The 27272-nt window shown below is 42.7% G+C and overlaps 1 protein-coding gene across 4 annotated transcripts in view, besides 1 other annotated feature; it reads right to left on the bottom strand.

Moving 5' to 3' along the window:
* XPO7 (exportin 7) overlaps positions 1-27272 on the bottom strand; it is an 86924-nt gene that overhangs the window by 2506 nt on the left and 57146 nt on the right. For 3 of the 4 annotated variants that reach the window (NM_001100161.2, NM_015024.5, NM_001362802.2), the window contains 20 exons: positions 26237-26310; positions 23877-23996; positions 22203-22349; positions 21268-21440; positions 19241-19434; positions 18389-18494; positions 16804-16939; positions 16223-16296; positions 14997-15077; positions 13673-13736; positions 13161-13269; positions 12106-12212; positions 9629-9717; positions 8481-8588; positions 5243-5325; positions 4775-4989; positions 4406-4544; positions 1808-1968; positions 763-861; positions 50-177 (listed from right to left, as the gene is read on the bottom strand). In NM_001100161.2, the coding sequence (NP_001093631.1) occupies positions 50-177; positions 763-861; positions 1808-1968; positions 4406-4544; positions 4775-4989; positions 5243-5325; positions 8481-8588; positions 9629-9717; positions 12106-12212; positions 13161-13269; positions 13673-13736; positions 14997-15077; positions 16223-16296; positions 16804-16939; positions 18389-18494; positions 19241-19434; positions 21268-21440; positions 22203-22349; positions 23877-23996; positions 26237-26310 (2407 nt within the window). Of the gene's footprint in view, positions 1-49; positions 178-762; positions 862-1807; positions 1969-4405; positions 4545-4774; positions 4990-5242; positions 5326-8480; positions 8589-9628; positions 9718-12105; positions 12213-13160; positions 13270-13672; positions 13737-14996; positions 15078-15246; positions 15358-16222; positions 16297-16803; positions 16940-18388; positions 18495-19240; positions 19435-21267; positions 21441-22202; positions 22350-23876; positions 23997-26236; positions 26311-27272 lie in introns of all 4 variants that reach the window. The other variant, NR_156173.2, reaches the window with a different exon arrangement.
* Positions 15136-16203: an enhancer, noted in NCBI's record as "VISTA enhancer hs783". NCBI's record gives its function as "enhancer in: limb[4/14]" and the evidence as "EXISTENCE:transgenic organism evidence [ECO:0001131][PMID:17130149]".

The following is a 27272-nucleotide window of genomic DNA, read 5'->3' as shown; positions in this document are numbered from 1 at the left end:
GAAAAATAGCAATTGTCTGAGATTTCTAGGCAGGACGCTTTATACTCACCTGTCTCTGTTTTTCGTAAGAAGATTTCGCTCGATGCCTTCCATCAGGTTCTCAAAACACAGGTGCATGGCCTGCTGCTTCTCCGGTGGCTGGCTGTTCACAATACTGTTTCTTAGGTCAGAAAAATACTGTGGGGCAAGGAGTGGAACAGAAGGTTAGAGAAGCAGGGGAAGGCAGATTAGCCCTCCGTCATCTGCAGGGTTGAAGAATGTTCTTCTCTAAGGAGGAATGGAATGTCTACTAAAATTGGACCCTTAAAAAAGAAATTCAGGCAAGCACTTGTGGGATAATATGGCTTCATCCTACTAAGAATATCAAGAATTTTTAAATTGTAAAGCACTTTAAAAGGGTCATCTTATCCAGACCTTTCTTTTACCAGAATCTCAAGACTTGTTTATAGCAGAGCTAGAACTAGAACTTAGGTCTTAGGTCCTCTGATACCCAGGTACATTATTTCCTTGAAAGGTTTCTCTTACTGCCTAGGGGAAACACTCCTTTATCCTGTGTCTGTGAGCTACCACACATGCTGACTTCTAACAGTTAAATGATTATGTGATACTGAAAGCACAAATGGGACTTGCTCAGTAAATGACCCATTTTCCCTGTTTCACCACCGTGGGGTGTTTCTATACACATTTCTCCCAGGGCTTGGTGATACCAAGTGCGTGGTTGCCACTGCTTCTGGGTTGGCACCAGGGAGCTGGCTCTCTCACCTTTTCATTAAGCAATATCAAGCCAAGTAGTGGTCGGGACATAGACCACTGGTTCCTACAGTCTTCAAAGATGATGATGTTCAGCACCGTGGACAGCATCTGAAAATGGAATGGAGAATTTCAGGCAGTGACCTAATGTATTGCTACCCAAGATAAAACGACAGATTCCAAATACAGGAGTATATTAGGCTGAAGGCCTTTTCTGTATAGGGTAAATCAGACAAATAGTTTGTGAAGCTTCATCTGAGTCTTCTATTTCAAGGTTACCTTTTCTTCTAAGATATTCATTTCCTTTCTTGTTCTTAAAATTGGTTTGAACTTCACTTACCAATGGATCTTTCCAGGTCACCCTGAGTTGTGGGGAATGGGATGGGGTCACGTAAACAAAATTACAGTAAGCAAAACCACCTTGCATGATCCCTTCCAGGTACTCGGAGTTGACAGCTTTATGACATCTTGTGAATGTAATGGAGTCCTGAATTATTTCACTGCTTCTTTAGAGAACGGTGTGGACAAAGGTAAGACTGGCTAAAATCTCAATAATTACTGATCCCATTTCCTTATCTATTTTCATCTAGCATGTATTTCTGTAAGTTACTTCAAGGCACATACAAATAAAATAAGGGCAAGCATATGGTTTGATCTCTCTGTGGCCAGTTATTTCCTTCTGTCTTGCATTCTTCTTCCTGTTTTGTAAACAGGAACACAAGCCTTTAGAAAGCTGGATGCTGCTAACTCCTGCTCTATTTATAGCAGTGGGTGAGCAAAGTAATTTTCACAGAAAGAGGATAGTGATCATGAGACAGGTCCAGGGCATAGGGATCACTGTGACACTCAGAAGAATAATCCAGAACCTGAGCGTTTTCTACATCCAGTGATTACTTGGCAAACTCAAAATCCACTGCAACTTTAAGACACGGACTTCATCTCAGCAGCAGGAACCTGATGAGATGTCATGTTAATCGTGTGTGGGCTCCCCTGTCTTGCAGAGGTCCTTCCTCTGTCGGACACCCCATCACTGCCTCCTAAGCCTCCACTTTCTTACCTGCTGGATCATCTCTGGATGCTGCTGCATGATGTGCAGAAAGCGGTCGCTCTCCTGGTTCAGGGGTGTGGTCCTCTTCTTGGTGCTACGTGACAGCTGCTTGAAGAGGTATGTCACAATGTGGTCCAGGCAGGAGCAGCAGCCTGTGCATACCATGGTGTCTGCAAGAAAGAAAGGCAGGGGTAGGACAGAGCTGCTGATGGTGGCCTGGACAAATATGGACTATCTTTGGGTGAGATCCATTAGGGTACCGTGGCCAATTCAACCAAGGCGGTTGCTCAAGATGACTCCTGTTAACCTCTTAACCTCATTGTACAGTAGGGCTCAATTTCTAAGTTTGAAAGTGAGTATGTGGTAATAAAGAATACTGAAATTATCGGCTCAATGTGTTGTGGATGTACGTACATCTTCTGCCTCACACAAAATAACAAATAGTTTGATTCAGCAAGTGCTTCTTTTGTGCCAGATGTTGTGCTAAGTACTTTATAGGTGTTATCTCTAATTTATCCTCTCAAGAACTCAGGAATTAGGTTTTCTGTTTTACAAATGAGGAAACCAGAATTAGGAGAGGTTATGTATCGGCCTAAGGATCAACTGCTAGTAATTGCAGGAGCTGTGATTAGAATCCAAGAAGCCTGGGGTATGAGCCTATGCTCTGAGTTACCAGTGGGATGTAATTAAACCCAGAATGACGTAGCCCCTGAATGTTTATGGTTTGTTAGAACACGGTATGCTGTATTATCTGTTTATCTCCAAAGCATCTCTGGGGGGAGCTGCAGACTCATCTATGCGTCTTTACAAAGGGAACAGTACAGCACAACCTGTGGACAGAACTCTGATGAGGTAAGGCCAAAGGACAAAGGGGCTGAACCCTTAAAAGAGTAAACAAGTCTCTGATTCCTACGGGACTGATAGTTTATGCAAACGTCCCTCTACTTGCTTTTTCTTTCTTTTTTTTTTTTTTGATACGGAGTCTCGTTCTGTCGCCCGGGCTGGAGTGCAGAAGTGGCACGATCTCGGCTCACCACAGCTTCTACTTCCCGGGTTCAAGTGATTCTTCTGCCTCAGCCTCCAGAGTAGCTGGGACTACAGGCACACACCACCACGCCGAGCTAATTTTTGTACAGAGACAGGGTTTTGCCATATTGGCCAGGCTGGTCTCGAGCTCCTGACCTTGTGATCTGCCCGCCTCAGCCTCCCAAAGTGCTGGGATGAGCCACCACGCCCGGCCAGGTCCCTGTATTTTCAATAAGACATAAAAAAGTCTTCCAAAGCAAGGGCTGATACCTTGATTGGACTGTACTAGATACGGCTATGCACCCTGATAGACTGATAGAAGTAAATGTGTATCAAAGTCGCACAGAGGCATGGATAATTCACCACAGTTGACAATCCAAAAGTGTATTTGCAACATATCATCACTATTTGGCAGTTGACTTAATCCTCCTACTTATGTTTTGCTCAGCCTAATATAAAAATGTGTTTTATTCTCTGAACACATATACCTACTAAGATTGTTGGGCCAGGCACGGTGGCTCATGCCTGTAATCCCAGTATTTTGGGAGGCCAAGCCAGGCGGATCATGAGGTCAGGAGATTGAGACTATCCTGGCTAACACAGTGAAACTCCGTCTCTACTAAAAATACAAAAAAATTAGCCAGGCATGGTGGCGGGCGCCTATAGTCCCAGCTACTTGGGAGGCTGAGGCAGAAGAATGGCATGAACCCGGGAGGCAGAGGTTGCAGTGAGCTGAGATCGCGCCACTGCACTCCAGCCTGGGCGACAGAGCGACTCCGTCTCAAAAAAAAAAAAAAAAAAATTGTTGGAAGGTAGCCTAGAAACAAAATGGTTGACAGAAACCATATGGACTAGGATGAAAAAACTTATGGAGCTAGCTGCATGAAACCTTTCCCCAGCTTCCACGGCCCTCAGGACAGAATTCAAACAGCCTAATACGGCTTACAGGCGGGCCCCCTTCATGATCTCCAGATTTGCTCCTGCTTATCTCTAAAGCTTCATTTCATTCCTAACTCCTCTGGACTAGTGTGCCAGCCATCTGGATTTCCTGGTTCTTTCTTGCCTACAGGTGCAAGTGCTTGCTGTCTCTGCTGCTAGGAACCCTCCCTGGCTAACCAGGGTAACATCTGTCCAGCTTTTAGGTTTATGCTTTGATGCCAAGTCTTCCAGCCAGTCTTCCTTGATCCTGACTTCCTCACAACCAAGAGTCTAGGTATTCTTGAGGGCTTGTGTAGCACTTTGTACTCACCCCTATTGTAATGTTTAAGTGGTAAGTATGGTAAACAGGCAGTTGTTTGTTCATGTGTCTGTTCTACCCACCAGATAAGCCCCTTAAGGACAGGGACTATATGCTGTTAATTACCGTATCCTCAGTGCTTCCACAGGGCCTTGTACTTAGGAAGGGAATCAGTGAGTGTGTGCTGGATAAGCATGTGCTGTGCATTATATACTCTATTGTTATGGCCAAACCCCCAAGGCAGTGGTGATCTTTTTGGACACTGGGGCAAGATTCTCTCTTTCTGTTTAGTTAAGTGGTAAAAAACAAACCCACCAACTCACCCACCCACCTCAGGTGCTTACCAAGTGCAGTAAGTCCTTCAGAAATGGAAGAGAGAATATACATGATGACGTGAGGTTCCAGGCTTGCAATAAAGTTCATATGGTCCTGGGTCAGGACTTCCAGTAGTGAATAATAAGACTGGCTGAGCTTGGGGTAATCCTGTGGGAGAGGAAGAGGAAGAAAATCAGCTTAGGCACTATGCACTCCAGCATGCAGGGAGACGATCTTAAATAGCTTAGCTCCTTTTAGGTGGGAAAACAGAAGACTTAGTTAGAGCAAAAGGAGCTAGCTTACATAGTTTCTCAAGAGCAGTGTTCAATCTTGGTCTCAGGTGAAAAAGGCTGAATGTGATGAGGAACAAGATTGTGGCAATGCAGCGTAAGGCTTACCAAGAGATCACTGTGAGGAATAGAGAGGAGCAGCTTGATGAAGGTCTGCAGAGCATTGTCCAGGGCATCGTCTCCATAGAGACGAAAGACTCCGAAATTGACGTAACTCCCACTGAGAGCAGCCTTCAGCATGGAGAAGCAGATGGAGATGCCCTTGAGCTTCAGAGCATAGACCTGATCCTTTGGGACCTCTCCTAGTGTCAGGATGCGATTGCCTGAGTAGACATGTCATATATGTTTATTCAACCACATTAGAAGCGCTCGTTTAGATCAGCCTTCCTACTCCAAAGGCATACAAATTCCAGTAGGCCCCTGGTGACAGGTGGCACTCTAATGCACATGTATTAGCATACAATACGAATGCTGTCCTGGCTCCTGCCAGGACTGGCCAGAGACCCACATGCTGCTTACAGTGTGGTGACTGAGCTGGAATTAACTTCTAGAGGCATGATTATCTGAAGCACTTACCATACATTGTTATCATCTTGCTGGTTTCTCGGAAGAGTAAGATGCCATTGGGGGAAGAGACATCAAACTGGAGTCGCTGGGACCTGAGCAGAGAGCACAGGAGGAGAAAAAGTCAGAGGTGTTTTCTTGGAAGACTGGGGTACTTGAGGCTCTCATCTGAGTACCTTGGGTGATCCTGCATTTACATTAAGGTAAGCAATTGCCTATCCTAATATGAGAATAACCAAGTTATAGATATTTAACCATGAAGTAGCTTCTATATTGAAGACCAACATGCTAGATTCAGATTCTGCTGCTCAAATTAAAAACATTTATAAGAAAAAAAAAGCAGCAGTAGATAAAATTACTATTTGAAAATTCTCAATTTTATTTGATTAAAGTATACTTTCTTTTTTTTGAGATGGAGTCTTACTCTGTCGCCCAGGCTAGAGTGCGGTGGCGCAATTTCGGCTCACTGCAACCTCTGCCTCTCGGGTTCACACCATTCTCCTGCTTCAGCCTCCCAAGTAGCTGGGACTACAGGTGCCCGCCACCACGCCCAGCTAATTTTTTGTATTTTTAGTGGAGATGGGATTTCACCATGTTAGCCAGGATGGTCTCGATCTCCTGACCTCGTGATCCGCCCGCCTCAGCCTCCCAAAGTGCTGGGATTACAGGCGTGAGCCACCGTGCCCGGCCTTGATTAAAGTATACTTTCTACCCGTCGCCTCTTGATACTAATGCAGAGCCCTTCAGCCATTAGTTGGCATGGACCTTTATGGCTTCAGTGGCAACTGAGGGAGAGGGGCCAAAGCATTGTTACCATTTTATATGAAGAAAAGATGCATAGGGACTTGGAATGGTCCAAAAGAAGCCAGACAGAGAAGGCCATTTGTAACCATCTTGGTTTTAAGTTCCTGACTCTTTTGTCTGCTCCACATTTTGATGAGCTTTATTAGATTCAAGTTGGTAAGACCTCAAAAGCCCAGGAGTCCTTCCTCCTTCCTCCCCCCCACCACACTGAATCCATCAACATCTAACTCTAAAATAAACCCCAAATCCACCTTTCCCTTACATTCTCTCTGCTTCTACTCTTACCTGCCTTTAGTCCCATTCTTCACATGGTAGCCTTTAAAAAACTTAAATGAGATCATTTTAATCCTTTGCTGAAAACACTCTAGCGGCTTCCCACAGCAATGAGAATAAATGCCCACTCCTCACTACTGCTGTGCGAAGGCACTAGATGATCTGGCTCTGCTCACTGGTCTGACCTGCTCCCACAGCCTCCCCCCACCAACCAGGCTCCTGCCACAAGTCCCAGCAAGCCTGTCCTATCTCAGGACTCGTGCAGATGTTTTCTGTTTAGAAGACTCCTTATCTTTGCAGGGCTACCAGAATCTTTCTTGTCATTTAGATCCTAGTTAATATTACCTTCTCTGAGAGGTCTTCCCTGACCCTCCTGTCCTTCAATTCCCCTCTATTTTACTGCCTTGTTTTATTTTGTTTCATGGCACTTAATCACTGGAAAGATCTTCCATACTTGTTTTTATTGTGTGTCTTCCCCACCATTTGTAACATCAAAGAGGGTAGAGATTTTGTCTGGCATAGTGGCTAGGAAAGTTTGGCAAAGAGTAAGTGCTCTCAAGTATCTATTTTATAAATGAGTAACTCTTGAATATAAGTCTCCTGGGAGGTTATAGCCTCTTTAAATATTACCCACTCCATAAGGTTGTTTTAAAACTTATTAATTCTGCTAGGCCTGGTGGCTCACGCCTGCAATCCCAACACTCTGGGAGGCTGAAGTGGGCGGATCACCTCAAGTCGGGAGTTCAAGACCAGCATGACCAACACGGAGAAACCCCGTCTCTACTAAAAATAGAAAATTAGCCGGGCGTGGTGGCGCATGTCTGTAATCCCAGCTATGTGGGAGGCTGAGGCAGGAGAATCGCTTGAACCCAGGAGGCGTTAAGTTGCAGTGAGCCAAGACTGCGCCACTGTACTTCAGCCTGGCGACAAGAGAGAAACTCCGGATCAAACATAACTAACTAAATAAATAAATAAAATAAAAATAAAGAAAAAAAACCTTACTAATTCTCTCAGGACCGCCATGAGAGACCAATGCCCATACCTGAAATTCTAGGAAAGCTAAGGTGCTAGACTTTTCTTTTTCACTGTCCTTAAATTGTTTTGAAAATCTTGCTCACTTTTTAAAAGTAAATTTTTATTGATCCTGCCACAACCTCTCTAATAAATACCTTTCTTAAGAAAGGGTATTCTAATATCTATCATATCCTTCTCAATGTCTCTAACCATGAAATGTGATGGACAAGGCACCATTACCAGATGTTAATTTCTTATCTGTGGGCAGGAAATCAGAATCTTGGTTGCCAAATTTACTTCTCCTAAGAGTAGACATCTGGAGATTCTTTTTATTTTACTTTTTTGAGACAGGGTCTTGCTCTGTCACCCAGGCTGGAGTGTAATGGCATAATCTTGGCTCACTGCAACCTCTGCCTCCCAGGCTAAAGCAATCTTCCTACCTCAGCCTCCTGAGTAGCTGGGACTACAGTTGTGTGCCACCATGCCCAGCTAATTTTTTGTAGAGGTGGGTTTCACCATGTTGCCCAGGCTGATCTAGAACTACTGCATTCACGCAATCTGCCCACTTCGGCCTCCCAAGAAGCTAGGATTACAGGCATGAGCCACCATGCCCCACTGGAGACTCTTTTTAAAAGTGACTTATTAGATGGGCGCAGTGGCTCACGCCTGTAATCCCAGCACTTTGGGAGGCCGAGGCACGCGGATCACGAGGTCAGGAGATCGAGACCATCCTGGCTAACATGGTGAAACCCTGTCTCTACTAAAAATACAAAAAATCGGCCGGGTGTGGTGGCGGGTGCCTGTAGTCCCAGCTACTCCGGAGGCTGAGGCAGGGGAATGGCGTGAACCCAGGGGGATGGAGCTTGCAGTGAGCCGAGACTGTGCCACTGCACTCCAGCCTGGGAGACAGCAAGACACCGCCTCAAAAAAAACAAGACAAACAAACCAAAAAAAGTGACTTATTTCCTGCAGTTGACTATGGTTTTGTGTAGTTAGGAATACTATTCTTTCACACAAACAAAAACACAAAAACTTTTCGAATTTTAAAATGCAGTAGTGAATCTTATTATTTCCCACAATCTGCCCAAAGCACTAGATACAGCAAATTCTCTCAGATAACAGGGCAGATGTGCCCTTGCAAGCTCTGCCTCCTGCTTACCTATTATGAACCAATTCAGCCATCAACTTGAGTACAGGTGTAGTACAGGCTGGATCATGGTACCAGAGCTCAATTGCCCGTTGGAGAATTGGCATATAGGATGGATATCTGTAAATGAGAAGCTAAGGAAAGATTTCTGATTCCAGAAAGGTACAGAATTTAAAATAGTTTTTCAGCACTAGCCAAGCAAAAACTTGTCAAACTACAGTTCTTTAAGTTCCTGTCTCTTGCTTGCTAATCTTGGAGTCTTTCTAACCAGAAGATACTAAAGTGATTTTGTGTTCTTTAACCTGTGAAAGGCATCTCATAATACATTTTAGTTTACATAGGGCCTTTCTTCTGAAGAGCATGATGTATTTCATACTGTTATTTGTCCTTTCATCACTTCTATGGTATTATATGGGATCAGCTCATTTCCTTTACATAACTATTAAAGAGGCACCTGGATTTGAAATAATCTTCACAAGGGTATGAAGTCAGTAAAGTTAGACTTCCTAATTTGTAAAAGCTGTTTATTATTATTATTATTATTATTTATTTTTTTTTGAGATGGAGTCTCGCTCTGTCGCCCAGGCTGGAGTGCAGTGGCGCGATCTCGGCTCACTGCAAGCTCCGCCTCCTGGGTTCATGCCATTCTCCTGCCTTAGCCTCCCAAGTATCTGGGACTACAAGCGCCCGCCACCACGCCTGGCTAATTTTTTGTATTTTTTAGTACAGACGGGGTTTCACCGTGTTAGCCAGGATGGTCTCGATCTCCTGACCTCGTGATCCGCCCACCTCGGCCTCCCTAAGTGCTGGGATTACAGGCGTGAGCCACCGTGCCTGGCCTTTTTATTTTTTTCAGCAGACTGAAACATCTCTCTAAATATAGCAAAACCAACAGTTCTACAGTGGTATATGGTTCCACAGGCATTTATATTTGAGATCCAAAAGAGAAACTGGGAGACTACTTCATTCATGTTCTAATCTCAGACAACCTTATGTCTGTCATAAGGTGGCTTCCAGGACACATGCAGGCCTTCTGGCTAACTCTTCATCTTCTCTGCCTCACTACCCTCCCTTCCCCCTACACCGTCTCTGGACCCTATCACCCAATCACACTCCAGTTAAGGCAGGCTGTAGTGTGCTCCTAGTTTGAGTTAGGATACATCCATTCAAAGAGCATCATGAAGCTGGTCTTGGCATTGAAAGCGAAAGCGATCCCTCTCAGGTCTCTTACTAGGCCAACTAGAGTTCGCTGTAGTAGAAGGCAAAAATGTGTTAAAATAGAAGAAAAGACAAAACTGTAACAATCTGATGAGGATTCCACACATGTATCATCAAATTCTTTCTCTCACAGTTCAACATATACTCCTTCTCAAATATTCGGATTCAATATCTTCTATGCTAGAATGGCATATTTTCATTCTAGCAGTGGAAGTTTGTTTTGGAAGTTTGAAGTTTGTTAGCTTTGGAAGTTTGTTATGCCAAGAAAATTAGCTTTGGAAGTTTGTTTTGCCAAGAAAATACGTTCCTGGTTCGTAGCAAAAATAGAGGCTGATAAGGTTTTAAGACATTGAAGTAATACATCACATGTAAAAAGTGAAAAAGCTTTGAGTCCACCCAGGGAGGAAAGGAGGGGAGGGAGGGGGAGAGAGGGTGGGGGGCGGAGAGAGAGACAGAGAGAGAGAGAGAGAGAGAGAGACACGGCAAAGAAACCAACTCAAAAAGCCAGAAAAAAGCAAAAAAGAAAAACAGAAGTCCCAAAGAAGAAGAGGTAGAAGAGCCATATATACCCTAAAGGAAGTCAGATGCAGGCCCTGCCAGGAGGAAGACAAAGGGGAGTCTACACAGCACCTCTCTCTTTGGGTGGGCCATCTAGATAAGACTATGTTTAATCAGTACTCTCCATTTGCAGAAAAAGAGACTGAGGCTTAAAGAGGCCAAAAAACTTCCCCCAGTCATGTTGCTAGGTAGCAGGAGGGTCCAGATCAGGACTCATACATAATACCAAGACTCCAAATCCAATACTCACTCTCTCAATAAAACTTTTACTTGGGACATGAACAGCAATAAAACTACTATAAAAATCATAGTTTGGGGGTTGTCTCCAAACGTGGAGACAGAACAACAACAACAACAAAATGTGCTCAAGAAGGTTGTACATTTGGGGATCTTGACACGTTTGGCAAAAACGACATCACTTCTGTTAACAGTCTGCTTGTAAGCAAACAGTTCTCTCCTAAGCTGATACCACAAGCTCAGTTTTCCAGTCTAAGACTTGGTCAGTCTCTTAAAAGACTTTACATGGGACATGACAAAGAAGTGGGTGACAGCTGTAGTCCATTACCAAGGTTGTTCTTTTGGTTAATTTTACTTGCTTTACATGAAACTAATACCATATAATGGGAAAAAGGGCTGATATTCACTGATATCCCTAAATCCTTGATATTGGTTGATACTCTAGCCTAAAGTTGGTAATATGTTCCACAATAACCCAAGCTTTGAATGGTACCTATCTCAGACTCTAAAATACAAGTATAATTAGGGGAGAGAGGGTTGCATTAAGTGTTGTTGCTTTCTGTCTACCCTGCTGATTTGTAGATGGAAAAAGAAAAGGCTAAAGATGAAAAAGGAGAGCTTTAGAATGCTAGGTAAAGCCTGGCATTTTTTTCTGGCAATACCCTGGCTAGCTGGTAGTTCTACCATTCAGCCTTGGTGCCCTGAGGAATACTGTAAAAAGTCCTACCAATAGTAACATCCTGGTGTCTTCTGATTTGGACACAGATCTATACAGGTCAAGAGAACAGTATGTATGAAGTAAAAAGATGAAGAAAGCAACAATCAAGAAATGACAATTCTAAGAGCTAGAAAACAAGAACTTAAAATTCCATATATGTGGAAATTCACTGGGCATCGTGTCTCGTGCCTATAATCCTAGCCACGTGGGAAGCTGGGGCAGGAGGACTGCTTGAGCCAGGAGTTCAAGGCTTGCAGTGAGCTAGGATCATGCCATTGTACTCCAGCCTGGGCAAGAGAGTCAGACTCTGTCTCTAAAAAAAATCAAAAATAAAAACCCATATATGTGGAAATTCTTAAACCTTTCTAAGTGACTCAAGTGTCAAAGAAGAAATCTCAATGGAAATTAGAAATCACAAAAAACTGAATAATGAAAATGTTCCATATTAAAATTATGGATTCTGAAGATCTATTTCACAACAATGTAGAAACTTGACATCACTGAACTGTACATGTAAAAATGGTAAAGATGGTAAACTTTCTGTTTTTTACCACAATTTTAAGAAAACCTAACTTGTCACTAATGAGCAGTATTAAAAATGAAAATGGGATGCAATTAAAGATAAAACCGAGATTAAAAATGCAGTAAGAAAACTGTAAACAACTTTATGCTAATATATTTGAAAACTCAGACAAAAAAAAATCCTAAGAACTACTTAAGTAAATACATTGTAATATAAAAACAGAAGTTTACAAATCTATACTGGTTCTGCAATTCCAAAACCCTAGAAGTCCAAGACATTAAAAAAAGCTATGGCAGTGGATAGTTTACAGTCAAGCACGATTTTCAATCAGAGACTGCCCTAAACCAGAAGCTGATTAATTACTGGGTGAAAGACTCACTCACCTTTGCCTCCTGCTCGTTGAAACTATTGGTGCTAAACATCTGGGCCACAGCCTCAAATGCTGCTGTGAGTGGCAGCATGAACTGCTCATACTGATCTTCATCCTCTCCTGTAAAGGAAACATCCCAGGGTGTAACCCCAATACCAAGAATTCAAAGCTGTGCATATATGGGAAGATGGGATGAAAGAGGAGCAAACCCAGGGGAACTCAAGGGGGTCCCTTTATTATCCCAACAGGTATTAGTAGCAATGTAAGAGCAACATGTATATATAGAAACAGAATTTTTAAACTAGAAGATGACAACAGAAATCACCTAGTCTAGGCTAGGTTTGTTGATGCTGAGCCACAGTATCAAGAGATTCATATGTGTGTAAGGTACTATGTTATTTATTTATCCTTGCTGAGAATTAGCGAGTCAGTGGAGAAAGGACTGAAGCTTGTGCATGAGAACCAGATGAGACTCAAACTTTAATGGGTACGGAGGTTTCATTCACACTTAATTTTTTAAAAAGTCATCTCTCATAAACCTAGAAGGTTTTATGTCATTTTAGTAGGATTAAATTTAAACAGCTCGAAATTAGAGTAATACCACTGAGCTTTAGTTATTAACTGACCTGAAACTGCTAATATCACCACTACTGCTACAAAAGTGATAAAGCCCTTCTGGCTCATCTGTGCTAGAAAACTGGATAATAAAAAGTGGTGTTGACTGTTTCAAGTGGGTTTACACCTCATTGTGGGGTGGAGAAGTTATCTGGCCAAAAAGATACATTTAGGAATCTCAATTCCCTTATTTAACACCCGAAGAATGTGAAGAGAATTTTAAAGCCACTGCGTATCAGATGAAAACTTCAGGAGCAGACTGTTACTCTCTTCCAGTTATAAGGACCTCGACAGCATGATCTGTTCTTGGTGAAATCAGGCTGTTATTTCAGATAGTTTTGTTACTGTTGAAAAAACAGAAAAGGCCTCCCCAACATCTAGTTTTCAGTCCTCAAATAAAAATTTAGAAGAGTGCCAGATGACTTCATGAGCCACTACGATTTCTTACGGTACCTAAATCCACCATGAGGAGACGCCCAAGTGCTGTGTAGAAGGTAGTCCGACACCGCATGTCTGTCAGGTTGGACTGATTGTTAATACCCAAAAATGAAAAGTGCTCGCTCTATTGAAAAAAAGAAAAGAAGTTAAAGGTAAAAACATGAGTTAGAGGCAGAATGCAAGCCAGTAATCAGAGAATTACTGAGCCCTTTCAAGCCAATGGTTATGTAGTCATTCCTTGAGGATCTGAAGGTTTTTTTTTTTTTGAAGGCAGGCTACCGTTGTCACTACTACTAATTTATCTGCAGTATGAGTAGCAGTAGGTGACTTCACCATAACTCACATCATCTGGATCTCAAAGAGCCACTCTGATGACGTAAGTATAATCTGGCAGTATCGTGGGAATCAGGACCACCGTCTTTGCTGTAGCAATACCCGGGACCTCAGTTTACATATCTCCTTTATGTGTCGAGAAAGTGTATGTGTGGGTGGTAGGAGGGCCAGGAAAAAAAGCTAAAATCACTCACCGTGTGATTGTTCAGCATGAACTGTACCGCACTAAGCTTCACTAGCTTCCTTACGCTACTGTACGTGAAGACAAAGGAAGAAGGTCAAGGAAAGTGTGAAGCAGGCCGAAACTCTAAGGCAGATGGAAACTTTCCAGAATAAAGGACAGTTCACCCAAATATCTTATTTTTTAAAAAATACTTGAGTATACCACTGCCAAATATGAAAAAATGCATTCTCTTCTAAGCACTATTTAATCAGTAAGAAAACACCTATACTGGCCGGGCGCGGTGGCTCACGCCTGTAATCCCAGCACTTTGAGAGGCCGAGGAGGGCAGATCACGAGGTCAGGAGATCGAGACCATCCTGGCTAACACGGTGAAACCCTACCTCTACTAAAAATACAAAAAATTAGCCGGGCATGGTGGCGGGTGCCTGTAGTCCCAGCTACTCAGAAGGCTGAGGCAGGAGAATGGCATGAACCTGGGAGGCGGAGCTTGTAGTGAGCCGAGATCGCGCAACTGCACTCCAGCCTGGGCAACAGAGCAAGACTCCATCTCAAAAAAAAAAAAAAAAAAAAAAAAAAAAAAAAAAAAAAAAAAAAAAGGAAACACCTATACCAAACTCCTATTTGTAAGAAAATAGAATAAACCTAGCAGTTTCCCCAAATAATCATGAATAGTCTAAAAGGGCTTTTCTCAGCAGGGGTTCCAAGGGAGAATTAGGCCCTAAACTCCTGCCTAAGAGGCATATATTGTGTATAATGAATGAACTTCTCTCCTATTTAGAATGGTACTAGCTATATACAGTATTTGGAAAAGCGAGAAGAAAGTCACTTCAATAATTTTACAGGGTTTACCCTTCTTGTGGACCCCTGGTTGTGAAAAGCTGCCCTAGAGCAATTCAAACTTTATAGCAGACCTAATTCAAGTCAAGAGGAAGCATAGTCATCACTTCAATCACAAAGCTTGGAATCAGGATGTTTCTACCAACCAGCTGATGGGACAACCTAAGAAGGAGTTTGTCTCTACTACGGATACTAAAACCTTGGTCACACAGAGTATGTACCTATGAGATGGGGCTACTATGCACTTCTGGAACTTAGGAATAGACAGGGATAAATCTGTACTAAACTATCAGGTTGGGTGTCAGCTCATTTTTGGGGTCTGAAATTATTCCTATATTCTGCATGGGCATTGGCGTTTTTTTGGACTCCTAGGAAAATGGAAGATATGTGAGTACACACTACAGCTAAACTGAAGTGGAAAGAGCAGGAGGCCATGATTCTAAGACTGTGGCATGCCAGTTTCTGTTGTGCACAGAAGTTAGCTTAGAAAAGGATATCCAATGGACAGGTCATTGAGAAGCTGTAGTGTCTTGGAGGTGATTGGTTCACAACGGCCCCAGTACTTCAAGTTGGTGATGCTGGAGGACAAAAAGAAAAAAAAAAGCAGGAGACCCTTTTGATTTGCTGGTTTCCTTGAGGGCTGGGAGAAGAAGAAAGTCATTCATCAAAAGTCACCACACATCTGCACCACCAATTCACAGACATCACGACCACAAAAAAAGATGGGTAGGAAATCTCTGTACTTACATTTGGTTGACTAGAAAAATTATCCTTCAGATAATCTTCACTACTTGGTTCCAAAGCTACACTGGCCCATACCCAGGCCCTTGGAATTCTGGGGCACTCCAGGGCTGATTTCTGCAGCAAGGGTAAGAGATTTCTGCGGCAGTGATAACATGCAGACGTATGCAATTCTGCACCTGCACCATCCACTGTCAGCTGCAGAATTCTAGTAGCCCTTGCTTCTGGATTCTTGGCTGGCAGAGTCCTTTAGACCCCCTTTGCTTTTTCCATCTTAAATTATTAAACCAGCTCATGGATATGAGTGTTTAGGGTTGGGACAGTTGGTAGGAGGCAAAATGTCACTCTGCACACAGCCCTGGGTAATATATTTGGCTCCTAGTGTGTGCTTTGATAAATTGAGCTCCTAAAAAGGGAAAAATGTAACCAAAGGGGTATAACGTAAAAAAAAAAATAAAAAAGGGCCAATTAGGAGCTCCAACTCTGAAGACAGTTCAAACAGCAGCACTAGATTTTGGAGACTCAACACTCTTAAAGGGTGTGATGTTTCCTGGGAGGAATAAGCCCATTTTTAAGTGGGGCTTTCCCCTTCGAGGGGATAACGAGAGGAAATCAGCAACAGAAAGTGAATGCCTATGCTGGGCATCCCTGGAGCACAGCAACTGGGTGAGGGGCTGAGCAGCAATTACTGGGGTGGAGGTCTGTTTTGCTAATGACATGACAGAGTTTCACCTGTGATTCCAGAGGCTAAAGAGGAGATTCTGCAAGAACAAAATTAAATCCTTGCCTGTACAAGCCTGGAATGCTCTGGGGCCGGGCCATATCTCTAAGCACAGCTTGTCACACACTCAAATGCACAATTTTCTGACGCAAACGATCAATGCTGGAATACCAGGCACTGGCAGCACAATGCCAAGATCACATTTTACAGTTGCAACAGGAGTGCAAAGGACTCTTGCTGGTGGCAAGCTGAAACACTTACATTTTTCCTATGAAGACGCTTAGGACCATGGTCTCATCATTCAAGCCCAGAACTTCTGAGAGTCGGCGGTACAGCTGGTGTTAAGAAGAGAAAGTAACCAGAACACATGAATTACAACAATCACATCCTGGTACTATTTTTGTCCACACTCATGGGTAAGATGTGGAAGAAAATGGACAAGAATCCCAGAGAGGACTTTACTGAAGGGATAAGCTAGTTTCCAAGTATTACTGGACAGATGCTGAGCAATCTTACTGGTCCCTTTCAATCCTGAAATTGCAAAAAGACAGCCCAAATCTTCTGTTCTGAATATTAATTCATGCATGGAGACTAAGAATTGCCCATTTGTGGGAGAACAACAGATGTTTGGACTGGCCATTTGTTAAGCATATGGAGCACTAAAGAAATGGGCCCAATTCTTTGATGACTCTCCCAGAATTTAAAGACTAAGAGAAAACATTTGGACTGTCCTATTACGTGAAATCTGGAGGTTATGTGAACTATCAGCAACTGTTTCCCTCCATCAGCAATCCCACAAGTGAGAAGTGAGAACTAAGGGGAGCCAATTGAGAGGCTGTTACCTTAGAGGATTTCTGCACTTGGTCCCCAATGTAGATCTTACGAAACTGTTCAAAAAAGCTCAGCATGGCCAACTCTAGCTTCTCATTACCCGCCTGGGCCAAACGAGAATCTGTTAGGTTCATCAGCTGGAGCACCCTGGAGGAAGAGGAGCAATGATTCTCTCAACAGCAGGACATCCTGTTTACTCTAGACAACCCAAGCTATCTTGACATGGTCGTATATGCCTGTACTTGGGTACAGCAACCTCCTGCAACCAAATTCATCTACATAAATGAGGGAGGCAGGACTAGACCAGGAGTTTTCAATCTTTTTGGAGACACATGAAGGATGATGTTCACAGGTAGGTAACACTTCCAGGGATTACTAGCAGAAATATTACCTGTGACTTCATCTCTTTTCTCTGTACCTTCTCCCCAAAAGAAAGGATACTGGAATGCAAGTGAGTGAATGCGAATACAGATGTCATAATAAGTGAGTCATTTGATATTTGAGTGTGGGAATAGTTAACTATTTGTGACACATCATGAGTGAATGAGACTCCATCATTGTGTTGCTACACTCAAGCTCAGAACCAATCTGCAAGACATTGTTTGAACTAAATTTATATTATGACACACACAGTATTGAACTCGGCTGCAGAATCAGAAAGGCATTAGATTTCATTCTTATTAAAGCTCTGCTCAACTCTTCAAAAAATGCCAGTGGGAAAATGCTACGGAGACTTTTGTCAGGATTAAGGGACCTCTGGGCAAATGGGCATCTGATAAACAAAATGGGGGTGGAAAGAGACAAATGAGGATTTTCAGAAGATATATATATTGAAGGCGGGGCGCGGTGGCTCATGCCTGTAATCCCAGCACTTTGGGAGGCCAAGGCAGGTGGATCACCTGAGGTCAGGAGTTCGAGACCAGCCTGGCCAACATGGTGAAACCCCGTCTCACTAAAAATACAAAAATTAGCCAGATGTGGTGACGCATGCCTGTAATCATAGCTACTTGGGAGGCTGAGGCAGGAGAATCGCTTGAACCCGGGAGAACCTGGAACAGGGAGGCAGAGGTTGCAGTGAGCTAAGATAGCGCCACTGCACTCTGGCCTGGGTGACAGAGCGAGACTCCATCTCCAAAAAAAAAAAAAAAAAAAGTTTTGATAAAATGAGAATTGCACAGATGAAAAATAACTTGAAATGTATGGCCAAGAGATTTGAAAGGCTGTAGGAACTCTGTAATTCCATCTCTGGTGAACTTTAAAGAACTGCAGTTTCCTTTTAGACTTATTTTGGGATGGCAAAAGCAGTCCATATTTTACTAACTCTGAGATACTATTCGTAAAAAGACCTAACAGAGAATCTCTGCTTTAGTTTTCCTAATTCCGTATCCATTATTTCCTTTCTGAATTATTGCTGGTTTTTTATTTTAAAGTAAAGATCATAGGCAGAGTTATCATGGCACTTACAAAAGCCTTGAAAGCTGTGTCTCATGGGCAGTTAGCATGTTCAGATTACGTTCTGTAAGTGGAGAGGACCCTATCGGGGAGTGGAGAAGTGCCAGCAAGGCAGAGTGGAGAGCTTCTGTGGGGAGCACTTACCGACAGACAAGCTCACCATCCATGGCGTCTTGCTCATCAGTGCTGGCAAAAGAAACCCGGCCACCGATCACTGCTCCAATAATGTAAACCAGCCATGTCAGCCTTCCTGCAGCAGGAGACAGACCCAGTGTCACCTCCAGTGATAGTTTCTTGAAGACATTCCTCACTCTGAACTTCCTTAATCTTAAGAACACTGTGGTGAAACCATGAAGTCTTACTTTTCTTACAGAGAATGGCTACTTCTCTGCTTTGGTAAGGGCAATGCTAAGAGGGAAATTCGTTAGGTAACCAATGTTCCTGTATCAGACAAGGCCATTATTTTTAGTGTAGTATTTCCTTAGAGTTAAAAACACCCAAGCTGGGCACAGTGCCATGTTACAAACACCAGCCAGGCCCGGTAAAAAGAGGAAGCCCAGGTTACTATCTGTACTTATCTCCCTGTTTCCCCTGGCCCTTGATTTAGCAGTCATAAACCTCTTGGCCTGGTCCCAGCTGTGCTGTGGGGCATTAAAAAGCAGACAGGAGCCAGGTGTGGTGGCACATGCCTGTAGTCCCAGCTACTTCGGGAGGCTGAGGCAGGAGGATCACTTGAGCCAAGAAGTACAAGGCCCACGTGGCAACATAGCGAGACCTCATCTCTTAAAACAAAATCCCACTGCAGATGTGATTTCAGTTCTTCTTCCCTAGTCCCTTGAGGGATTTATTCATTCATAAAGATTCTTGTGCATATGGAGACAACAGATGATGAAAGAATCCTTTTGCAGGGAGGTAGGAAAGAGGTGGCAATGAGCGAAGGGGTACTAGACAACATCTCCTCACAGGTCTAGAGTTCCCAGCACGCTGCACACTCACCCTCCTGCACTGCAATGTCCATTGGGCTTGCGCTGGCGCTCTGTAGCAGCTCCTGGTACGACTGGGCCGACTGGTCAAACAACTGCACGAGGAGTGCACACGTCTTCTCATATTCACAACGCCCAATGGTGGACAGCTGGTCCAACTGCTGCTGGACCAGCCCCGTATCCTCCAGGGGATCTTCCAGGCCATCTCTATTCCCAAGGGAAGAAGGAAGGCAGCTCTCTTAAAATATGACTACTGATTTGCCCAATATAGCAGCTCTCTGACTTCTTCACTTAGCCACCATTTCTGACTGTAGAGGTCTACATCCCGACATTACTTTTAACCAAGGAAGAATGTTTAATGAGGCAGAAGGCCAATGTCTTCGCCCTAGCATCAGTCTCCCTTAGGTATATTCTGCTTGTTGGTGTCAAATCTTACAATCTGAATTCTCAACTCTTAATGTTTTTCTGCCTTAAACCTCAAAGTCCTGCCCTTCTCAACTGTCTGACCTCTTGACTCTTAGTCTTTCGCTTGTTCTTGACTATAGTAAACTGTAGGATAAGTACACAGTCCTGTGTGGGAGGCCATTGTGGCCAGGTGTGTCTTGGAATTCAGAACTGTTCAAATTGGAGGAAGGCAGTATGATGCTTCTACCATATCATATAAAACCCTTGATGGGCTTTGTGGCACATCAAACTCAACGTTCCTGTAGCAAAACTTATGAATATTATAAATGGTCATACTAAGTAGGATTTTAAAAAAACTACAAATGGTCTCATACCAACTCCCGTCCGGTTTTGTAACAAGTGAATTCTAATGCCAAACTGATGAGGAAATTTCTTTTGTCACATCTTTGACTTTGGAATTGCAGACAAGGCATTGTGGCCCTGTACTAGGTCTTGCCTTATCTGCCAGCTCCTAGATTTTAACATCTTGTCCAATGAGGAGCTCTTCTGTTGTTACACTGCAATATGATAATGGCAGCAGCAGCAGCAGCAGGAGCAGCAGCACTAAAACTAGCTGTGTGCTTACCATGTGCTACACACTGTGCCAGGTCATATTAATTTAATCCTTGTAAGAACCTTATGAGGCAGGCCTATTATTATTTGAATTTTACAAATACAGAAATGGAGCAACTTGCCCAAGAGTACAGAGCTACTAACTGGCTATCCGGCCCCAGAGCCTACAAACATGTAACCACTCCCCAACAATGCCTCACTGAAGCCAGCCGAATCCTCAGGAGTGGAAGCTATGGAGGTGACAGAAGAAGGCTTGCTGGTGAACTTCATGAATACTCAGATTTTGAACTGATTCAAGTCATCAACAGTTAAGACTATAACTCATGACTATTCAATGCACTTGGGGCTAAGCAAATTAAGAATCCAACTTAAAAAGGCCCCAGACCCTTAGACTCCAAGTAAATTCTCTTGACAAACAGCCAGTGAAAACAAGAAAGCTACCTAAACAGGGCTATAACTTCATTTAATATAGGTAATTTTTGAAAGGGCTTGACATTTCTTTAGCTACGGGATTTTGGTTCAGTTAAGTCAATGTAGACAGAAACCATGTATGAATGTAAAGCAATCAGTGATCAGTGGCTTAGAATTCTTATGTGTTCTAGCTCTGGAATTAGAATTGATAACTAGATTGTGTAATCTTTATCCACTTATTTCTTTAGGAGTTCACATTAAGCACCTATAAGTTACACATAATTCTTATCATCTATATCTTATAAATGTTTCTCACATTGAAAGAAAAACAGCGGCAAGGACAAACATTATATGGATATACTCTATTCAAAGATATTGCTATGGACAGTGAAAAGGGGGAATATGAATAGAATATAAATGTTCAAGAGACAAGACTATTCTATCAGGCTTTATGCTCTCATGCTACTCTGCTGACAAGGAAGAAGAACCATGAACAGTAGTGGCTCCAATGAGACACGCTTCGAGTACCTCTTTGCCAATGGGGTGTCTGATCTCTAGGAAGTGTGACAACAGGCCACTGGTGCGGGAATGAATGAGGCTAAGTTTCCTTACCTCAGTATGATGTGCACAGATTCCAACCGGGATGTGATGTAGGCTTTGGTGACCTCAGGAGTGTAAGTTTCCAGCATGTGGGGCTCTGTGGCTTTGACATACGGCACAGAGGCTGCCAGCCGCTGCCACAGGCTCAGAAGATAGTGCACACTATTTGGAGCAAATTCCCAGTGCTAAAGAAAAGTAGAAAAGCAGAAGGCATATTTTTCATTTCTGTACGTGTTAGTCCCATGCCACTGACACAGAAGATAAAGACTTTTTTCTTTTTTTTAAAAAAAGAGGATAGACTTTTGTGGGCTTTGTTCTGTGTATGGCATCTAGTTTAATGTGTTTATTAGTATTTTCAAGATTAAGCATCTAATGAGAAGGGCTACTCTATGCTGGCTGTGTAAGCCTTACCATAAGGAAAGCCATATGTAAGTGGGTCTCAACCATTAGTATGCATGACAATCACCTGAAGAACTTGTTAGAAACACCAAGGCTCTACCCTGGACCTACTGAACCAGAAATTATGGGGATAAGACTCAAGAATCTATATTTTTTCATCAGTCCCCTAGATGACTGTGATACAAGCCATAAAATTTGAGACCCATTGTTCTATATTACATGACTAAGAAAGAGAGGGCATCAACTCTCTTTTTACTCTTCTGTCTAGCTCCCTGTTCCGACCTTGGCTTTTTTGGGGTGACTATGAGCTAATTCTCTCTGGGATGAATCTAAATATTATCCTAGTAATTCCCACATGTTCCTCTCCCCACACTACTTGCACTTGTGTAAATGTAAATCACAGGCCACAATAGTAACTACTCTGTAGGGCTATACTGGACTTATGGTTACCTTTGCCAAGAAAAAAAAATATATTCTTACATGGTTAAAACCAACAAGCAAGAGATTCCAGTATTTAGGAAGGAAGACACAAGTAATCAAAGACAAACCTGTAGGCTGGTCACTGTGAAGTTGGCTATCAATCGGATGACCTCAGGGTAGTTTTCCACCTTTACCAATTCTCCCAGTTGATAGTTACTCTTCAATCGGGCCAGTAGTCTGCAAAACTCATGGTAATTGTTTGGGTCTGATAAACTCTGGCAGTAGCAGAGGAGAAAAATAAAATGTAAAATGTGCCTTAACATACTTCAAGAATGATGTATACTTGAGATGGCATGGGGGAAGGGGTAGAATCTACTTTTTAACTTCTGGGCTGCAGGTCATGATTCAGAATGATACGTCTGCATAATGTTCAGAAACAATTTTTTAAAGTCACTTTGAAAAGGGACAGTCACATTTATTATCTCATATGTTCACAATAATAATCACATGAGATGACATTATTAGCCTCAATGGACAGAGTTTGAAACAGAAGCCCAGGAGGATCACACTGAGGCTGTAAAGCTCATTATAGCAGAAGTGGGCACGACCTAAGACGTGACTGACTTGTTTTCTTATTGTTACCAATCAAAGGAAATCTAATGAAATTTTCATTTCCACGTCTGTCAAACTGATCATTCAGCACAACTAACCGATAGTTAGCAAAGTTATACAAATGTTTCATATATTTATATCACTTACTGTAATTTATTCATATAGTAGTATTTATATGATATAGCAAATATTACAGCTATTTTAAAATCTATTCTACCAGTATATTTAATTGTAAGTTTCCTGATATGTCTTCTTCTGTTAGCATATGTGGGCTAAGACTTTGTTTTGTTCACCCGTGTATCCCTGGCACAGAGTAGGTATTCAATGTAATTTGTTGAATGAATAAATGAATTTTAAAAAGAGGGACAAAACTGAGTATATTTTGAAATAAACTGCTTTTTAATTTTCTTCTAGTATAGAGAAGTGATACTTTCAAAAAAATACTGAATCACTGGGACTTCAAAAGACAAAAAGGGCAATCGAGTTATGAAATTAACGTTTGAAAGAAGTATCTTCCTTCCCACCTAAAAGCAGCCCTATATACTTAGGTTACCGATAAACATTTTTTAAAAATGGTAAACAAAATCAAAAACCAAATGTTAGTTTTTTTTTTTTTTTTGAGACGGAGTCTTACTCTGTCGCCCAAGCTGGAGTGCAATGGCATGATCTCGGCTCACTGCAACTTCTGCCTCCCGGGTTCAAGCGATTCTCCTGCCTCAGCCTCCCGAGTAGCTGGGATTACAGGCACGTGCCACCATGGCCGGCTAATTTTTTTTGTAGTTTTAGTAGAGACAGGGTTTCACTATGTTGGCCAGGCTGGTCTTGAGCTCCTGACCTCAAGTGATCTGCCCACCTTGGCCTCCCAAACTGTTGGGATTACAGGCGTGAGCCTCTGTGCCCGGAGATGTTAGAGTCTTAACTTCTTGGGGGGAAAAATGACTAGCTTCTTCCTTATTTCCTTATAGCGAAGTGATTCTTTCCTGTAACTCCTACATTTCTGAAGCGGGAGGATATAAGCTCCTCTTTTGGGCAAATAATCTCAGAATTGGCCTACAAATAGAGATTCACTTCAGTCTTCCCTGAAGAACAGACTGAATTGTTTACTGGGCCTTGGGATGGATTTCCTTCTGACTCATAACAGCTGGCCATACACTAATCCTATACATATGTAAATTCTCAGATAAACTTACCTGTGGGTTTTCCAGTATTCGTTTAACACCATCAACAAGATGAGAGAGAAACTTGGCCCTCTCTGCATTGTTAAACAGGGATCTTCTGACTGAAGCGATCTGTACCAAGCAGGATAATACCTAAATGCAGGGCAGAACCCAAACACAACGATTAAAAAGACTGTACAGTTACTTTCACCAGAAACGTTCCACCTCCTACAATATCCTTCTTTAGGATATCTGAAGCAACATTATTTTAAAAAGAGAAAAGAAAAGAACATAGATCCAAGCAGACCACGGCAGCCCATTAAATTCAGTTTGGAAATTCCCTTAGGTACAAATTCCTTTGACCACTCCAATGGCATCTTTGTTCTTGCTGAGATACGTTATTTCACCCTTAAAAATATCGAGCAATTTATACTTTAAAGTTTTAGATTTAGTTTTCTTGGCTAATCTGAGTTTGACATGTAGATGTTATGTGCTTATGTCATTACATGCTATAAAGAAATAAGCGTATCGGCCGGGTGTGGTGGCTCACGCCTGTAATCCCAGCACTCTGGGAGGCTGAGGCAGGCAGATCACGAGGTCAGGAATTTGAGACCAGCCTGGCAAACATAGTGAAACCTCATCTCTACCAAAAATACAAAAAATTAGCTGGGCGTGGTGGCAGGCACGTGTAATCCCAGGTACTTGGGAGGCTGAGGGAGGAGAATCGCTTGAAGCTGGGAGGCGGAGGCTGCAGTGAGCCGAGATCGCGCCACTGCACTCCAGCCCGGGCAACAGTGAGAGACTCCGTCTCAAAAACAAAAAAAAACGAAAAAAAAAAAGAAAAAAAAAAGAAATAAGCATATCACATCTGGGCCCTAAAAAAGCCAGCTTTGGCCAGGTGTGGTGGCTCACGCCCGTAATCCCAGCACTTTGGGAGGCTGAAACAGGCAGATCACCTGAGGTCGGGAGTTTGAGACCAGCCTGACCAACATGGAGAAACCCTGTCTCTACTGAAAATATAAAATTAGCCGGGCGTGGTGGCTCATGCCTGTAATTCCAGCTACTCAGGAGGCTGAGGCAGGAGAATCGCTTGAACCCATGGGTAGTGCCATTCCACTCTAGCATGGGCAACAAGATCAAAACTCTGCCTCAAACAAACAAACAAAAAAACACAACCCAGCTTTATCCCTGAAGACATTTCCCTCTGTTCCCACTGTGTTAGATATTTACATTCTCTGTTTGCCCCCTCTAGATCTGCTTTCGACCCTTTTCCACCCTGCCCTATTCCCTAGGAGGCTGACCTCTGTTGAGGAGAGCAGCCAAGCTCCCTTGCCCTCTGGCTTCTAGTTGGCTTCAACCAATGGAAAGTACCAGCAGGAGATTAGAGGGCAGAGGGAACAGGGTACCCCTCTTCCGACCATCCAGCTGGCTATGCAGTGGCAGAGTTTCTCTAGTGATGGCTGTAGTTCTTGTTGTCCAGCCCTCCTCTAAGACACAGCTTCAACTCTCTCCAGGTTTCCTTCACTTGCCCTTTGAGGCTCCCCACTACTGCCAGCCCCAGGGGCATGCACCACCACCCCGTGCTGGTGTCCCTTAATTTTACCCATACCTTTGCAAGTAGTACTCTCTTAATCATCCCTCTTGACTGTGCTACCTTTTCTTGCAGTAACCTTAACGATACACCCGACAACACTGAAATCATGTTTCAGCGAACACAAAGGTCTACATTAATTTGGAGAAGTGCTACAATGGCCAGAAAAGTCCTCTACTGAACAAACACTATGCACACCACTCATTACTTCACTGTGTCTTCTTTATATATTTTGTGTATAACACCAACCGGTAATTTACACCAACAATCTGAAATACCAGACCAATAGTATTTTAGAACGTGAATGAATTTTGAGGTTTTAGGTTAATTATGGCTTTAAAAGAGAAATACACCATTCCCAATAGCTTTCAAATGTTATTCAGGGTAAGTATGCAAATTAGCCTTCTCATCACAGTTTCCATTTATGACAATCTAATGTACACCTAAGGGGTTTTCTGAGTCAGGACAATCTTAATAGTTCAACTAGACAGTATTAGGTGAATCCCCAGGTGCTAGCCTGTGGCCGTTTGAGGAACAGCATAAAGTCAGATACACGATGAGACCCAAAAGAGCTTGACCATCTGCAGGAATTGGCCTTTAGACAGGAATAATTTAAAAATAATTAAGACTTTATGGCTGGAACCTTTAGGCTACAAGCTTAATCTCAAAAGACTAGATAACTAGCCTAGTATTTCTATGCTTTACTTGTATAATTTTATAAAACAAAACGAATATAAGGTTCATTCACCATTGCTATCTTCTATGAATAGGTTTGCTTTAAGAAACGGTAGTCCTGACTCACCAGAGGTGAAAATGAAGGAGGGATGGAATGATACAGGTCAAAAAACAGCTGCAAGGTTGAAGAATCTAAGAAGGCTGGGGAAGAAAAAGACAAAAGACATCACTTTATTAAGTATGAACATTGCCGCTGGCATACTTCCAGCACTATACATCAGGGAGCACATCCTTCTGCCTACTTATCTTACAGAGTATTTATTTCCTTTGGAAGTGATAAGCAAATAGGGGCTTTTTGGTTTCCCTTTTTCTTTTCTCTTTTTTTTGAGACGGAGTCTCCCTCTGTAGCCCAGGCTGGAGTGCAATGGCGAGATCTCGGCTCACTGCAACCTTTGCCTCCCAGGTCCCGGTTTAAAGGATTCTCCTGCCTCAGCCTCCAGAGTAGCTGGGATTACAGGCACGTGCCACCATGCCCAGCTAATTTTTGTATTTTTAGTAGAGACGGGGTTTCACCATGTTCGCCAGGCTGGTCTTGAACTCCTGACATAGTGATCTGCCTGCCTCGGCCTCCCAAAGTGCTGGGATTACAGGCGTGAGCCACCACGCCCGGCCTCTTTTCTTTTTTTGAAAGTACTATTTTAGCTTCTCTAAGAAACAGATTTCTTCTTTCAATTCTCTGAGAACTTAACCTGAACACCTCTGTCCATAAAAAGAATTTAAAACTTTTATCCTTCTGGAATACAAAGGCAAACATAAGAACAAGTTGTTGTGTTTGATTTTGTTTTTAAAGATAGTTATTACCCTAAATAGATTACAGAAGTCTCTAGGCAATTAATGCAAAAAGGTGAAATACATATCTATTATTAATCGGCAATTTTAAAAGTTCTTTGACACTGGGGGATCTATGAGATTACTCCAACAACCTCCCCAACATTATAAAATAGATGTTACTGGCTGGGCACAGTGGCTCACACCTGTAGTCCCAGCACTCTGGGAGGCCAAGATAGGAGAATCACTTGAACCCAGGAGTTCAAGACTAGCTTGGGCAACATTGTTAGACCCCACTTCTACAAAACATAAACAAACAAAATTAGCCGGGTGTG

The sequence above is a fragment of the Homo sapiens genome, chromosome 8, assembly GCF_000001405.40.
Source record: "Homo sapiens chromosome 8, GRCh38.p14 Primary Assembly".
Lineage (NCBI taxonomy): Eukaryota > Metazoa > Chordata > Mammalia > Primates > Hominidae > Homo > Homo sapiens.
The sequence above is the reverse complement of the archived record's forward strand: the minus strand, read 5'-3'. Positions and strand labels throughout refer to the sequence as shown.